Source organism: Homo sapiens, chromosome 20 (assembly GCF_000001405.40).
Source record: "Homo sapiens chromosome 20, GRCh38.p14 Primary Assembly".
NCBI lineage: Eukaryota > Metazoa > Chordata > Mammalia > Primates > Hominidae > Homo > Homo sapiens.
The window spans coordinates 20,441,103-20,456,988 of NC_000020.11; the positions used below are offsets into that span (position 1 = coordinate 20,441,103).

At 40.7% G+C, this 15,886-nt stretch overlaps 1 protein-coding gene across 16 annotated transcripts in view, besides 2 other annotated features; it reads right to left on the minus strand.

Moving 5' to 3' along the window:
- Nucleotides 1-15,886, minus strand: part of RALGAPA2 (Ral GTPase activating protein catalytic subunit alpha 2) — a 323,115-nt gene that overhangs the window by 51,573 nt on the left and 255,656 nt on the right. For 2 of the 16 annotated variants that reach the window (XM_047440321.1, XM_011529309.2), the window contains one exon: nt 30-590. The exons of the other annotated variants lie outside the window; for them this stretch is intronic. The gene's annotated coding sequence lies outside the window, so the exon portion shown is untranslated. Of the gene's footprint in view, nt 1-29; nt 591-15,886 lie in introns of those variants that run through there. 16 annotated transcript variants of the gene reach the window in all.
- Nucleotides 2,466-2,515: an enhancer, noted in NCBI's record as "active region_17609". NCBI's record gives its function as "activates an Ori minimal core promoter by ATAC-STARR-seq in GM12878 lymphoblastoid cells {active_cell/tissue: GM12878}" and the evidence as "EXISTENCE:reporter gene assay evidence [ECO:0000049][PMID:35858748]".
- Nucleotides 11,668-11,777: an enhancer, noted in NCBI's record as "active region_17610". NCBI's record gives its function as "activates an Ori minimal core promoter by ATAC-STARR-seq in GM12878 lymphoblastoid cells {active_cell/tissue: GM12878}" and the evidence as "EXISTENCE:reporter gene assay evidence [ECO:0000049][PMID:35858748]".

Here is a 15,886-nt window from a genome sequence, read left to right on the forward strand (position 1 = left end):
TTGCAAATAAAAAACAAACAAAAGCCGAATTTAATGGAGTGGTCAGAAAGGGAAATCTCATTTTAATTCAGAATTCACATTCCAATTTTCTTTTGCAAGAGGACTCTCACATATTTTGGCATGAATTTACATAAGATGCTTTTTGGGAGCTGTTTCACATGAGGACCTTTTTCATAACAGAAAATGAAAGAGAAGGAAACAAGTGGGAAGTGGGACAGCCGTTAATCTGTAAGTTAGGGAACTGCTGCCAATGTTTAGGTGGAAGGTGACCGGGATGAGGTGAGTGTGGGTGGACCTGTGGCTAGCCTTGTTGAAACAAACAAACAGCTAGAATGTCACCTTGCCCTCCCTGGGCCTCTGCAGCAGTGACCACAATGACAGCAGAGGCAGGTCAAGGCAGGACAGCAGCAGAAGCAAGCTCCCTCCCTTCAGTCGTCAGTCATCCTCTGCTTCTCTCCCTCAAGACCAGCGGGGGTTGCTGGAGGAGCACTCCCTCTCTCCTCCTGGCTAATGCTCTAGGTTGCCCATGGTTGGAGCACTGGCCATCAGCCTCAGATACAGAGCTGTAGAGTTGACATGTGCTGGGAAAGCTTTAAGTGGAAGAAATGTAAGAAAAACAAAGTTACAGAGGTATCCTAGAGTCATTTAAATACTGCTGTCCTAGGGATGTAGTCTGAGCTGTTTTGGAGATCATTTTAAAACAGGATTTTTCTTTTTTTAATTTAGAGGCAGCATCAACAGAAAGTGAAATTATCCTGAAGTATACATTATTTATCACAAATAACATAAGACAAGCCAAGAAAGAAATTCTATTGGATTTCACTTTCATTTAAGAAAAAAAATTTACTGTTTTTCAGAAATGAAAAAGAGTATCTGAATAAATTTAGAGAAAAAGGCATAAATATTAGTTGGTTTGCACATTCAAAGTAGTCTGTGAAAATATTTTTAGCAATTAGTGACAATGCAGTTGGAAGACAGACAGCAGTGGCTAAGAGAGTGAGCACCAAGCCGGGGTGTGAATTCACTTCTCACTTGATGGCTGAGAGATCTTGGGCAAGTCATTCAGCTTCTCTCTGTGCTTTCGCTTCTTTCTTGCAAAATGGGACAACAACCCTACTTTCTAGTGATGGTAAAGTACACATAAAATATTTATCACATCGTACACATTGTAAGAGCTCACTAAATTATGACTTATAGATTGGCCAAGAGATACTTGGTGGGAATGTTCTACACTTTCAGATGCCATGAGGCATCTTCACTCCGCTCTCTGTCGTCTTAGCCTAATTCAAGTTATGGCCATACACTCAGCTACTCTGAGTCCCTTAATGTAACCATCTCATTCGTTTCCTTTGCAGTGGAATAGCACAAACAAATTAAAACTCAAAGCAAGCACCAAAGAATAACTGTGTTATATTGCTAATGAAATATCTAAAGCATGGATTGTAATCAGACATCCAAATATAAATGTTTTAGTTTTGCTCCCTGATCATTTCTGATAAACACTTTGGCTTTGCCTTGGCATTTATCTTCCTAAAGCAGACTGGTATTACAATGTACGGTTCCAGTAACATTATCTCTGAATTATAAGATCCACCTTGAACAAGGCTCCAGCACAAAGGTATTAGAATGTGCTGATGACAAGCAGACACTCTTCTACTGCTGAAAAACAATGGCTGACACTTCTGTACGAACAGACAGAAGGCACATCAAAGGAAGCCTTTTACAGAGAAAAATTGTGTGATGCCCACTTTAATCTCTCTAGAAATCTATGCACGAACTGAACCCAATTTCATTTTTCACATAAATGCTAAGGCTTGATACAAGGACATCTTTTTCTTTACAGTTAAAAGATGAAGAGACAAAAGATACGCTAGCATAGCCTTTGAACTTTTTAAAGCTCTATCAATGGACCATGATACTTAACCACTGATACAAGGGCAGAGATTTTACAATAGCTGCATTTAAAGCATTCTGACTAAAACCAGTCATTATTATAGATTAAAGAAAGGCATTAATATCCACGTTTTCCTTAAAGCTGCATAGTTTTTATACTTTTAACCCTTTGATCAATTAACAAAGGTCTAAAAAGGTAAGATTGTAATACCAGAAGGATCTGTAAAACTACCGTGGCGTGGGGATGTAATTTGAAGGGGACTGCATTCATTTCCTGGATGAGGAAGGATGCATAAAAAGCATCTTTTTGGGTGAGAATGCGGGAAGCAGTCCTCCAGTGAATGAATGGCTTCAAACTGAGATAGTCCAGATAGTGACTCTTCTGACATTGCATCATTTTCTGGGGGCATGGGAGAACTATGAAACGATGTCTCCAGGTGCCTCTTGATCTTCACCTTTTTCCCCTTGTATCTCTGGATCCCTCTTGAGCCTTGGCTGTCCCATACCAGGTGCCCCTAAATGTGAAGCTGGTGCTATTTGTCTTTTATAGTTGCAGCCACCTCAATCTTCCAGCATCCCTAACTTCTTTCTGCCTGTCAGGCTGCTGTGCAAGGCGTACCACATGACATCCTCATAAGGTGGAGTCCAGCTTTGTGGTCAGAATGCCTGTGCGCCAGGCCCACCATAACCATTATAAAGTGCTTGAGGAAGTCATGTGACTCCTCTGGGCCTGTTTCCGCATGGCTAAATGATGAACACAGTGGTGCCCACATGAAGTGCTTAGTACAGTGCACAACAAAAGCTAAGTCCTGGATAGCTGTTAGCCACTATTCTCCCCTCTCAGATCTGGAAGAAACCATGGGGGAATCTCGAGTCCATCTCTCACAGCAGCAGCAATCCTTTCTTCCTAGTCCTTGGGCATCTGTGAATCCCTGCTAAGGGGCTGCTTAATGCCTTAGGGCAGCAGCTCCCATTCCTGGCTGCGCATGAGAATCACCTAGTGGTTAATCGGCACTGATGCCTGGCCCCCATTCCAAACCAAGTTACCCAGAATCTGTGGGGTGGGTGCTGGGCATCAGTCAATATTGGAACCCCCATGTGATTATATGTGCAGCCAGGGTTGGGAACCATGGTTTATGGCAACACAACACACACACACTTCCTCTGGAATCCTCCCCTCTGTACAGGGCCACAGAATGGGACAGAAGGACCTCCAGGGGCCTGTAAGCAAGAAATGTGTCAGATACGTGTTAAAAAGGAATGCAAATTCACGGCTTGCATTTATTTTAATACAAAAATGTTGTATATGATTAACTATCAAGTACTGCTGATGATCTGCAAAGGCACGCTGTGTGTCTCCTGGGACTCTCCTACACCCTAGCACATCACCTCGTTTCCCAATTTGAGGAGATCTTACTTATTTCAAGAAATTTTAAAACTTTTTATTGACAAATACACACACGCACAGACACACACACACAGTACACAGAAGTATAAAGCTCAATGAATTTTCACAAATTAAACACACTCATGTTATCAGCACCCCAATAAAAAATCACCAGCACCTTCCTGCTGCTTTCCAGACACTCTCCCCCTTACTGGAAGGATAACTCCTCTCCTGATACACTGCAGATTAGCCTAGCAAATACTGTCAGTTTCCCCAAGTGGTTGATTGAGCCAATTTACATTCCCACCAGCAGCATTTCAGAGTTCTAGTTGTTCTATAGTCTCACCAACACTTGGTATTTTTCACATTAATTTTAATACAGTAGCCAGTCCCCCCTTCTCCGTGACTTCCTTTTCCATAAGTTTGTTACCTGCAGTCAAGCAAGGTCTGAAAATATTAAATGGAAGATTCCAGAAGTAATTCGTGTTTTAAACTGCACACTGTCTGTCCTTTTGTCCAGCGGGTCCACGCCGCATGCGCTGCCTATTAGTCACTTATCAGATCAACAGCCACAGGATCACCTGTGTTCTGTGTTGCATGTGCCTGTGTTCGAGTAACTCTTATTTTACTCAATAATGTCCCCAAAGTGCAAAAGTAGTGACGCTGGCATATTGTCATAATTGTTACATTTTATTATTAGTTATTATTAATCTCTTTGTCTAATTTAGAAGGAAACTTCATAATAGGTATGTATGTGTAGGAAAAACGTAGAATATAAAGGTTTTGGTACTATCTGAGGTTTCAGGCATCCACTGGGCATCTTGGAATGTATCCCCTGTAGATAAGGGGAAGCTACTGTAACTTGAGATGCTCGAATGTAATGTCTGACTATTCCATAAGTGCCTGAGTTTTGCAAGGAGATTCATGAAGATGGAAGCCTATTACACCCAAAGTGCTGAATTTTGCATGGCAGAAAGGCAGATGATGGAGTAAATATATTGGTCAGATGTTGGTTCTGAGTATGGGGGCCACTGAATGACATTTACTCTGTTCTTGGAACTGGAAGCTGGGGAGATCCCCCACGGAATCTAATCTGGCCTTTGGCTCCAACTGTGGCCCTGACTAGTCCACATCACTCAGAAATGGGTGCTTCTTCAAATTCTTGTTTTTGAAATAAACCATAACAAAAAAAGGCCAATCAACCCACCCACCCAATTAGGCTATTTTCTCCATGGCTGGGGATGGGTAAAGGGATCTATAGCATAGCCTCCAAACAGTACTTTCCTCTCAATGCCAAAAAACTTCTGATTAATGGTCAAACAGGTTCTTAGGAATTACACTTCCATGTAATTTTCATTATAAATAAATTTAATTGCCCAATGTGTTTAATATTTTTAGAACTAGTATGTAAAGAAGTATAATCTTAAAAAGAAAAACTGGCAAAATCCAGCAACTGCTTTGAAAGAAGCTGTAAGATTTGAACTCAAAAGCATTTTCTGAAAAGCTGGACTCAGAGCCAAAGCTAATGCATTCTGCTAGCACTAAACAATGCACATTTGCTTTGGAAAAAACATTTTTTTTTTTAATGACTGAATTTACAAACATAGTCCATTTTCTTCTTAGAGCTAAAGTATCATCTCTCTTGCTGGGGCACTTTTTTTTTTTCTTTTTCTTTCAAAATCCTCTTTAACAGGAGCTGTGGTTAGTAAAATCTTATATTCTTACTTGAGCATATGTTCTTCATAGAAACCCAAACTGTGACCTCTTTGGATTGCTGAATGAATGTATATGTTTCTAGTTAGTAAGTGTGAACTGTTAAAACTCACATAAAACACAAAAATTTGAGATATCCCCCTCTCAACTTCCCCATTTTGAGGGTTTCACATAAAAACAAGTGAAAAACATTTAGAGAAATGAAAAAACATTCTGAATATATTATAAATTGGTTAAACACATATGCTGGCAGATTATCAATCTTTTGTTTTGAAAACCACCACATCATCTTACAGTGAAAGAGGTAAATTTTCAAACTATTCTGCTGCCATTACTTTTAAAGGCAAAAACCGCAATTACTTTTGCACCAATCTAAATAGGTTTTGAAATCAACAAGGAGGAGAGGAGAATGATGATTAAGAGGAGAACAGCAGCCACCAGAAGCAAAAGAAATGACAGTACCTTGGCTTTGCAGGATTGCTGTGGAAAGCAAATGCATTACTACGCATAAAGAGATGAATGACACTGCACTGCTCAGCACTGCCCTGGGTTATACAAAGCTGACCTGCGTGGCTACAGGTATAATGCAGAGGGCAAATATTCCACTGGGCCTGGTGGTTCTACATAAATGATAAAGTGAGTGACTTCCTGGGTTGAACTAGTTCCTGCAGATTCAAAATGTGTCTGAGGCTGTGACAGGGTGAGGACACTGCAGGCATTCTCTGGAGTGACAAGTCACCGAGCCTCTTTGGCTGGCTGTGCCCAAACTCGCACTTAGGAAATGTTCTAAGGCCAAATTCCACTCTGGAACTCTCAGGCTGCCATAGTTCTGCTAAGTTTTAGTTTGATGGCCCATTTGTCATGAAGTCAAACCCCAGTTAAACTGATTTCTCAGCTGATTGGCAGGGATAGCATTTTAATTATCTTGCTTGTAGATTTCAACATTTTAATACAATTGCATATAAAGCAAAGATAACTTTTTTCCATTTGTGCTTTTCATTTCATTAAGATAAAAGTGGTTTGAGTCTCTTTTTCAATGGGTTGATAAAGGAAGGGGGCTATCCATTGTCCAGCACCAGAAGGAGGTCAGCTGTCTGACTTGGTGGCAGTATTGAGAATTTGCTAACATGGCAAGCAATTCGAAAGTTTCCCAGGCAAAGATGCATTTCATTTGTTAATTGATTTTTAAAGACTTTATCATGAAAACAGGATTGGAGACACTGCATACAATAAACAAAAATAACATTCACTGGGCACAATGCCCAGAGAAACCAGCTACACAAACACAACACTAAAGGAAAAAGATGGTCCCGAAGAGAGGCCAAAATGGTTCAAGATGCAGAGAGCTCAACAGCAAGGGGCTCCAGAGAAGCTTCACAAACACAATCCTGAGCCCTGGCAGATGTCCTGTCAAGGCAGCTAAACCCTCATCACAGCACCTGTGCACAGATTCCTCTGGTTAGTAAACAAAGTTGCTATTCACATATTCTCTATGCTTTGTAATGCAAAAAATTAGGTTGAATTATATCAAATTGCCTTTTTTTTTTTTTTAACTAGGTCAAACAGTCAAATATCAACAACTTCATGCACTTCAACCCAACATAAAATAAGGAGTGGAACTCATCTCACAATGTCTCTCATTTTTTTGTCATCATGAAGCTCTTTTTCTGGGCACCTGTAGAGAGGATGAGGTAGGACAGTCTCTTGCCTACTGGACTGAGCCACATCGACAGTATCTGAGGATCTCTGCCCCGCATCCTCAGTGTAGCCAGCAATGTGCCAGGTCCCTGATGCATGCAATTCTACAAATGTTAGAGAAGGGAGAGAAACAAGGGGGCATCATTCTGCCTTCCTTGTGCTCCAATTATTCTTCCAACTCTTAATCCCTTTTGCTTTTATCCTCATGGAACATGGGGTACTTAATGTGAAACAACTTTAACGTTCATTTTTTCCAATGTATTAACTTTATAATGGCTAGATGAGAACACAAATATAGTCCCTCCCCAGTTTGGATGGGGGTAAGTAAAAATTGTTTTTGAAAAATGAATATTCAGATGTATTTTTCACCATTATAGAAATAAGAGTTAATATTGTGATGAAAAGAGCTGAATACAACATGAATGTAGAACTCTATCATATTTCAAGACAGAAAGAATTTTTTCTAGGACTTGAGAGTACTTGACCGAGTAGAGTGTAGTTTAATCTCAATGTTAAATAGTCTTTAAGAAAAGGCAGATAATCCATAGGTTGTCCGGTTGTTAAAAATCAGGATTAAGCTCCTGGTCTTAGTTAATAGATGTGTTAAGTAAATGAATGTGGCTAGTTTTATGCTATCTGCCATATAATATCAAATTTATCAGGTCTTTGAAGAGGTGCCAACAAAACACCTCTAAATCCAGACAGAATTTTAGAACACACTAATAATTAAACAGATAATGAAATTTAAAAAATATATTACTTGAGTGTTACTATTTTCCAAGAAACACAGTTGTTACTCCATTATTTTTAATAGAATCTATCCTACAAAGTTTCCCAGGCAATTCTACGAAAAGATATTGGAAAACAGAAATAGCATTTTTGACATTCAAGCATTTCTACAACTTTAATTTCAGAAGGAAAAACCTCAAAGTAACAAATATATTTTTAGGGTACTGAAAGAAAATATAGCTTTAAAAAAATGTTAATCTTTACTCTCAGTGAAGAGAATGACTATGAAAACTGACCAGTGATTTACTTACTCAAAAAGCGACCTGACTTTGGGTTTATGAATGTATATTGAAAAAAAAAAAAAAAGGTAAATCTGCCTTCAAGTTACGACTTAACAGGAGTTCGGTGAGTCCATAATTAGCACCTCCCATGGCGGGTTTTCTAGAATCTTAACACAGAAAACCTGGAATGCACATCTTATTTAACAACCTGAGGAGACAGAGAGCTTTTCACAGGCAAAAACACATTATGAAGTTCATTAATTAAACAGTGCGGGTGGAGCAGATGGATGCTACCTACGCTTGAATGACGCTAAATTGGGACAGAGGTTTGCAGTCCTTAATGAAGCTCCATAAAATGAATGATTACATAGTGATCACAAGTAAACAAACCTGAGAGAAGAGCTGGATTATAGGGCAACAAGTCCTGCAACATGGTAACAAGAAGACCAACATGCATGGAAGCACCTAGTACACAGAGAGGCTTTGACATCATTCAATCCCAGACCATCCCCAGGGTTGAGGAAAGCTGTGTGAGTCTACAAAGAGTTAAACATGAAATGACAGTCGGTGGGGCAATAATATAAAAATGCCTGGCCATGGAAATGAAGGGAGCAGAAACCTTTTTGTCACATAAAATCCATTATTGAGAATAAGACACTCAAGTTTCCTTTTATCTTCACAGAAAAACAGATGCAAAATGTCAGGTACTTGGGCTTTTTAAACTAAAAGGCTTAGCAAAAGCAGCTAGCCAGCTAATGTGGGCATTAAGATTATTTTTCAATCATACTTTCCCCTGTCACTAATTAATTCTTCACTTTTTCAGCTATTGTTAAGCCCTTAACTTTTTTTTTTCCCCCGGACCTAATTAGCTTGTGATGCACATGAACTTGCATGTCTGCTCCAAAGATATCTTTTGAACTCATGGGGTAGAATAGAAATCATTTTGATATTAAAAATTTCCTATAAATATATGCTGTTGTCTGGAACTTATTAGGTTAGAATGACCTATTATGTCTTCCAACTTATACAAAATATAATTTCATTAACAGTAATTGACAACTTTAGAACAAGAATGGCCCGAAGACATGTGGTAGCTACACCTTACAGCAAGCATTAGAGGTCAGCAGTAGTCAATGGGGATGCCCTGCTCTGCTGCCAGAGCCATGACTGTGGATTCTCTGTATGCCTTCAGATGATACTCTTATTTTCATCCTCGCTTCCTGGGCTTTGATTTTCTCTTTCTCATTATACATGGCCTTTATGTAAGCTCTTTCAAATCTATTTTAGAGAGAGGTAGAATATAAATGGATTCCACATATACAAATAAATATCTTGCTAGCAAAAAGACAGAAAAATCACTGTGATGGAACTGCGTCCTCAACTATTTCTCAAGGCAAAAGCACACTAACTAACATCAATTAGATGCTTATTTTGGGATGGACTCTAAGTGGGATATGCCAGTAAGAATATTTAAACTTAATATTTTCACTGCTTTTTAATTTGGAAGCTACATGTATTTAGGTGTAAGAGATGTACACATGGTATCAAAACGGGAATACTTTCCATCCTAACTTAACGATAATTTTGTTTTCATATTTATTCCATACAATCAAGGTTTAAAAGGCTAGGATTCACTTGGTAACAATAATGAGAGAACAAGCTAAAACTAATTGGAATTGCTTCACTTTCTGAAAGCTATATCATTTTGATGGTCTCCTATTCTTAGGTCAAAAGTGTGCACAAATGAGAAACAGCAGGCGGCCATAGAGTCAGGTTGGTCTGGGCTCTCATCCCAGCCCTGCCCTGGCTGTGGGCCCCAGGCCAAGACCCAGCTTCCTCGAGCTTCACTCTCCCCATCTGTGGGTTAACACAGTCCCATTCTGCAGGGTTGTCGCCAAGAGTGAGAATAATGGTCCAACAGTCCTTCTGGGTGCCTGTGATCAGCCTGCGCTTTTGCACATCGTGCACTGATGTTCCAAACTGCCTTTTGGAGCTGAGTTTACTCTCTGGTCCATTGGCTGATGAGAAAGCATTTTATCAGTTACATGCAGACACTAACTACTGACCAAGAGTTCAGGCTCAGCAGTGTCTCCACTTCTGTCCTTAGGTAATTATTTGAATACTCCAGTGAATTTTGCCCTCATTTCATAAAAATGAGTGGTAATAGGATAAAATAAAAGTACTAGTAGGAGCAACAACAAACATAGCTCTCAAACTCAAGGCAGTGAAAGCAAAACTAGAAATCCTCACATATGCCAAACGTGGAGAATTTTAAGTGCCTAATAAATTTTTAGGCACACCAAATACACACCAGCTTATTTCCAATGGCAAAGAGCAAAATTAGAGAGCATGCTTGAAAAATGGCATCAAAACTGGAATATAGAAAGTGAGGCCCACTTAGAAATTTTATATATTTTTGTTTCATTTTCAGAGAATAGAATGCCCTTTATAAGTTAGATGTGCATTTGAATTCCTATCTGTAGATCAGAAAGCAAAAACTTCAGACTTAAACATGAAACCAAAATGAAACATCAATTCTGAGTGTCTAGCCTGCTCCCCAAAAGACATCTTTTGGGCTTCCAAAAAGTAATCTATTTTTAAAAAAATCTATATTACCCTCTTAGGTTGAAGTTCCTTTATAAATTCATTCATTTGCCAAATTCTGATTGCAAAAGTGCTCATGTGCCAGACTGGCTACAAAACACTTACTGATCCATAATTAGAAACTGCCTAATCATTTCATGGTTGCAATTCCTGACTCTGAAATGTTTAAATAAAATGTTCAGTAAAAGGTTATTTATAAAAGAACCAATATTTTGATCACTACTTCAAAGGGAGGCCTGATTGTGTAAATGCAAATAACTGCCTTATTTTAGTACTTAAGGTCTCAGATTGAATGTAGCTATCTATTAGCACAACTGATCCAAAGTTTAGGAGGGACATTCTTTTAGAAGATCCCATGTATTTATTTTCTAGTTTGAAAAATGGACATTTTAATATAAATTTATAATCTAAATTTCTGTTGCCAGAATTTGGTTAAGTGGGCCTTATTTAGTATACTAGAAGAGACTATGCAAAATCATATTCCACAAAAGAATCAACATTCTCTTATAGCTTTAAAATACTATAATGTGAGCTTGAAATGCTCCACACCTGAATTGATAAGAGCATTAGGCAGTAGTTTCTATGAAGCTTTTAAAAGAGAAAGTTAACTTCTACTAAACAATTACAAGTGTTCAACTAATACAGTGTCTTCTGACCGATTTTCTAATAACAGCTTTTAAAATAAATCTACCAAACTGTTTTGACTCTTCCAATGTAAAAAAGAAATTGAAAGTTAAAGCTTAAAAATTCCCCATATAGAGAGGAAATAAACTTAAAATAGAAATTTAAAATAACTTCAATCCAAAGTAAAGCAAATCGTTTCATACACTTTCAGTAAGTATAACAAATTTTATATAGTGACCCAAAAGTCACCATTGTAGAGCTTTGCAACTCAAGACGTTTTAGCTGGAGGGGTTAAAAGTGTGGGTGTGGAAGTCAGCTTTTGTTTGAAAAATTAGCAATGCTATGAGTCATCGTGCATTAGCTGCAGAAGAGTTTTGCATCTTGTACGAATCCAGACACCATATGCCATGCGAAGGCCTATTACTTTATTCGGTGCCACCGCTGACAGGCAGCCACGTGGGTATCCCCAGCGGAAGGGCTGTCTCCTCCCGGCGGCGAGGACAGGAACCCAGTGAGCTGAACACATCCGACATTGTACGGAGCAGCAGGAACAGCTGGTAAGCTAGCAAGCGGCAACGGCCCAGCGAGGAGCGTGGATGCTAATGAGCCTGGCGACAATGCCGGCCTTCAGAGGGGTAAGTGCAATGTCGGCCGGCATGTTCCCACAACAGCCTCAAGAGTAGAATCTGCTCGTTCATGCCTTCAGTCTCATTAAAGCATGATACTGGTATTTGTGGCTTATCAAAATCAGCTGTAAATCACAAGTTATAAATCCGACCAACAGATCCAACATGATTTAAAATGTTGCACTGAAATGCAAGTAAAATTCCACAGGCATCTTTGGGTCCTGATGGAGAGGTGTTGACCAGGCACTGGGGTGGTGGGGAGCCGTGAGTTGATGGCACAGGTGGAGCAGCTGCTGCTGGTTCAGGTCCTGGTTACCATTCACAAAACTGTGTGGCCTCAGGCAAGTTATTTAACTTTTCTGGGCTTCTGTTCCCTCAACTATATTTTTTAAACATAAAAAAGTTTGTGACATAATAGATTGTGTTAAGACATTGCATTGCGTTTGCATAATACATTAAAATAGGATCATAATTGTGCCTTCCTGATAGGATTGCTTAATAACTGAATAAAATATGTGAGGTTCTTAGTGCCTGGGACAGAGCAAAGAATGGTGCAGCTAAGTAAACAGATGTCTCTCCAGGTGACCCAAGAGGACAGCTCCAAGCAGCTTCACCTCCTGGTCTTGTTCTTCTCACACAAGACAAGACAGTAGCACATCTCCTTATGAGTGAGGGGTCTATGGCATGAGATGGGGGAAGGTGTCTGGCAGACACAGTGAGATGAGACAGCGATAAGAAGGGGAGGGAGTGATGTGTGCACATCTGGGTGCTGTGGACCCCAATCTGATTACTGCGGGGGGTGGGTTTGGGCTCCTAGCAGCATCTGAAGCTCCAAGATCACCAAGTTTCTTGATGGTTCCAGGTTTACCAAAGGCTCTTTTCCGCTGAAAGTCGTTTACTTTTTCTGAATGCTCCTTTCTTCCATCAAGTCCCTGTGACGCCTATTCACCCTCCAATTGCCAGGTCACAGGCCCTCTGTGGGACGCCTTGAGGCTCTGGGCTGCACTCTGCATCACAGCCATGAGGAAACTGTGCACTGCTCTCTTCCCTAATGTGCTCTGTATTCAACAAAGAGCCCCTCCAGGGTGGGCACCGGGCCTTCCATTTGTGCACCCACAGCAACAGCACAGTGCCTGGCATACAGGAAATGGCCGATGGGTATTTTGTTGAATGAATGAGTACACTAACGAAAAAAATGCTTTTGGACTTTTCAGAATTGGTGTCTAGGAATATGAATGAGATTATCAGATTATCAGAATCAGTTGATTATTTTTTGTCAAGATTTTTTTAAGCCCTAAGTAAAAGACATTTTACTGAATGATCATCTCCAGCAAGAAATGCACCTTGCACCTCTATATCGTAGGGCAGGATGTGTGTAAATATGAGAGAGAACTACCTGGTTCTTGGAGAAAAACTTGTTTCTCAGAAGTTTTCCTGTGAGCTAAGCTCAACTTAAGGGGTTCTCCGAAGGTGTTATCTGTACTCTGTGAAAAATGGAAAGGATGCAGTGGCCTGTGAGGTGCAGATTAGTGAAAGTGGCCTTAAAGGTGAGATGATCAGCATAGAGTTTAAAAGGCCACAGAGCTCGAAACAAAGATTACATCCCAGGAGAGACCTTTGTGTAAAATACAGTGTGTCATTCACTAATGAATTTGAGCATGTCTGAATTTGGAAACCAGTCCTCTCTGACCGGCAGGCAGCTGCTGAGGCTCTCGCACACAGCAGGCATGACACTCGTGGCTCTATTGGCCACTGCTGCCTGCTCCTTATAGGACCAGCACACAACAGTGGCCAGAAACCCTGGTTCAAACTTGTCTCCCACATATTTGCTTTCTTCAGATCAGCCCTTAACTTTACGTTGTATCCTGAAATCCACAGATAAAATCAAGATAACTAGATATGGGAATGGAATGAGGATTGGAAGCCAGGTAAAGAACTGAAGAGGCTTTTCCTGACTCCCCACTCTGCCTTCCAAGGATGCCACAGGGGTAGTTCCAAAGCTAATCCCTAGGGGAAGCTCCTTTGGCCTCAGTGGTCCAGGGAAAGACAGATCTTCACTCTCCAGCCTCTCACTTGGTCACAGCCATTCAAAGACGGTAGTGACATCCAATGTTCATTGTCTTCTAATGATGTTTTGTGGGAAAGTACATGCTAGAGTAAGAATGCTCTTCAGTTACTGGCATTTCAAATATATATATATTTTTAAAGTTTTAATGTTTTAAAAATACCCAGACTAGAAATAATTACAGCACAAAGCCCAGGTCTGTAGTGACGCAGTGATGGTCTGGAGCAGCACCAGGGAGGGCTGGTACAAAGTCTGAGAAGGGAATGAATATCTGTCTGTAATTCACACATGCATACACAAACACAAACACATGTCCATTTCCCTGAATCAAGTTTCAGAGGAATGGTGATCCATGACGGAGATTATAAAAAGTACACATTACAAACAGAATGTGTCCCTAGGAAGGGTGTTACGAATCTAAGCCCCGGAGCTGCTGCCTCCACAGTCCCGTGTAATGCCACCTAAGTGCTCTGCCTCGCATGACTTGCTGCAGGCTGCCACGGATTAGAGCTATCGATCGCTGCCTGCAGAAGGGTCTCGCTGTGCGAAAGGAAGGTGAGCGCTAGAGACAGACAGCTCAAGTATCGATCTGCTCTGGCAGAAGGCCGTGGTTCCAGATGCAGAGTGGCACTCCTTCACATCACCCATGAGTTACTATAACGTGCACGGAAACACTAAAGAGCTGGGGGATCGGGCCAAAGGCTGGAATGTCATCACCACCTCCTCGCCTGTCAGCTGGTCACGAGATCCAAAGATGCCATGTGAAATCTCTGGCTGTTTAAAAAACACAGGCAACAAAAGCCTAGGACGGGCATTCCTATGGTCTTCCAAGGCAGAACGGACAAACCACTGCCACAGAGGACTGCCAAGGGTCATGTTAAGAAGTGGTCAGAGAATGTGGATACATCTTTAAGAATGTTCCTCCAGCGGCTGAGAGGTTCACCAGAGCCATCAGGCCGGCTCTTACTATAAAAAGACACAATCCTTTTCCCCACTAAAAGCTGATGCCTTCCCCTACTTAAAGCAAAACATTAAAAAAATTGGTCCAAACGGACATTCTCCTTAAAGAAATCTCAATGATACAATTTATATGGTTTTCAAAAGATTTTGGGGGAGACAACTTCCAAGGCACAAAGACATAAACTCATCTAAAAAGTCAAATACAATTATGAGGTACATCAAAACTCATGATTTTTGAAAGCAATATAAAATTAGGATTCATGAGACCAAGTTAAAGTGAAAATAAGGAGCTCAAGGAAATCAAGTGTAACAGGAACAAAATGCACGCTTTCAACACTTGCTTCTGTGGACACAGGAGCAGAGTGAACTCTATTGCTTTCATGACTTAACTCTCTGGATTTAGAAGTCATTATTTAAATCAGTTATCTTTTCAGTATCCATATTAAGTCATTTCCTCCCATGCACATTGTAAAGACATCCTGTGGTGTAATTACATAAATGGCACTAGAGTCTACTTTCCCCTAATTAGAAATTCCTTAAAATGTTTGCATTTCTGATTTTAATCCAACTAACATCTACTGACTTCTTATGATGTTAGATGCCGGAGACTGAAAGATGAATAACACATAGCTTTACCTTTAAGGAGCTTGCTGACCAGTGGAGGGGCAGATGCCTCATAGTGAGCCCCTCACCCAGTGTGGTCAGTGCTACACCAGCTATGGAAGACAGAGAGAAATGTCCGTTGGCCTGTGGCCCTCCTTGGACAGGCAGGCTGCTGCTTATCTCACAACAGGCTCACTCTCCTCCCTTGAATCTAGGCTGGCCTTGTGACCTGCTGTGGCCAAATAGTTCTGAGACTTCCAAAGTGCTATTGTGAAGAAGCTGGCACCTCCACCTGGATCTCTGGAGCCTGTAGCAGCCATGTCAGAAGCCTGACTGCTGCGAGAAGACCCAAACTAGCCAAGTGGAGGGGCTGCTGAGCCAGGTATGCCTGGCCAGCCCCAAGCTGTTCCAGCTATGCCAATGCAGGTGCCAGATGTAAGAGACCCTGGGTAAGAACCATCCAGCTGAGCCCAGTCAACCCACAGAACCATAGAAGAGCCTCCCTCCACCATTTTGCCTTTAAACATTTCTGCAAAAATCTTTATAAAGTTCCTTTTTTTTTTTAAGTGACAGTGTCTGCAGGCTATTCACCGGCACAATCATATTGCACTACAGCCTAAACTCCTGGACTCAAGTGATCCTCCCACCTCCTGAGGAGCTGGAACTTGCAACACCATGTCCAGCTCTTGCAAAAATCATGATG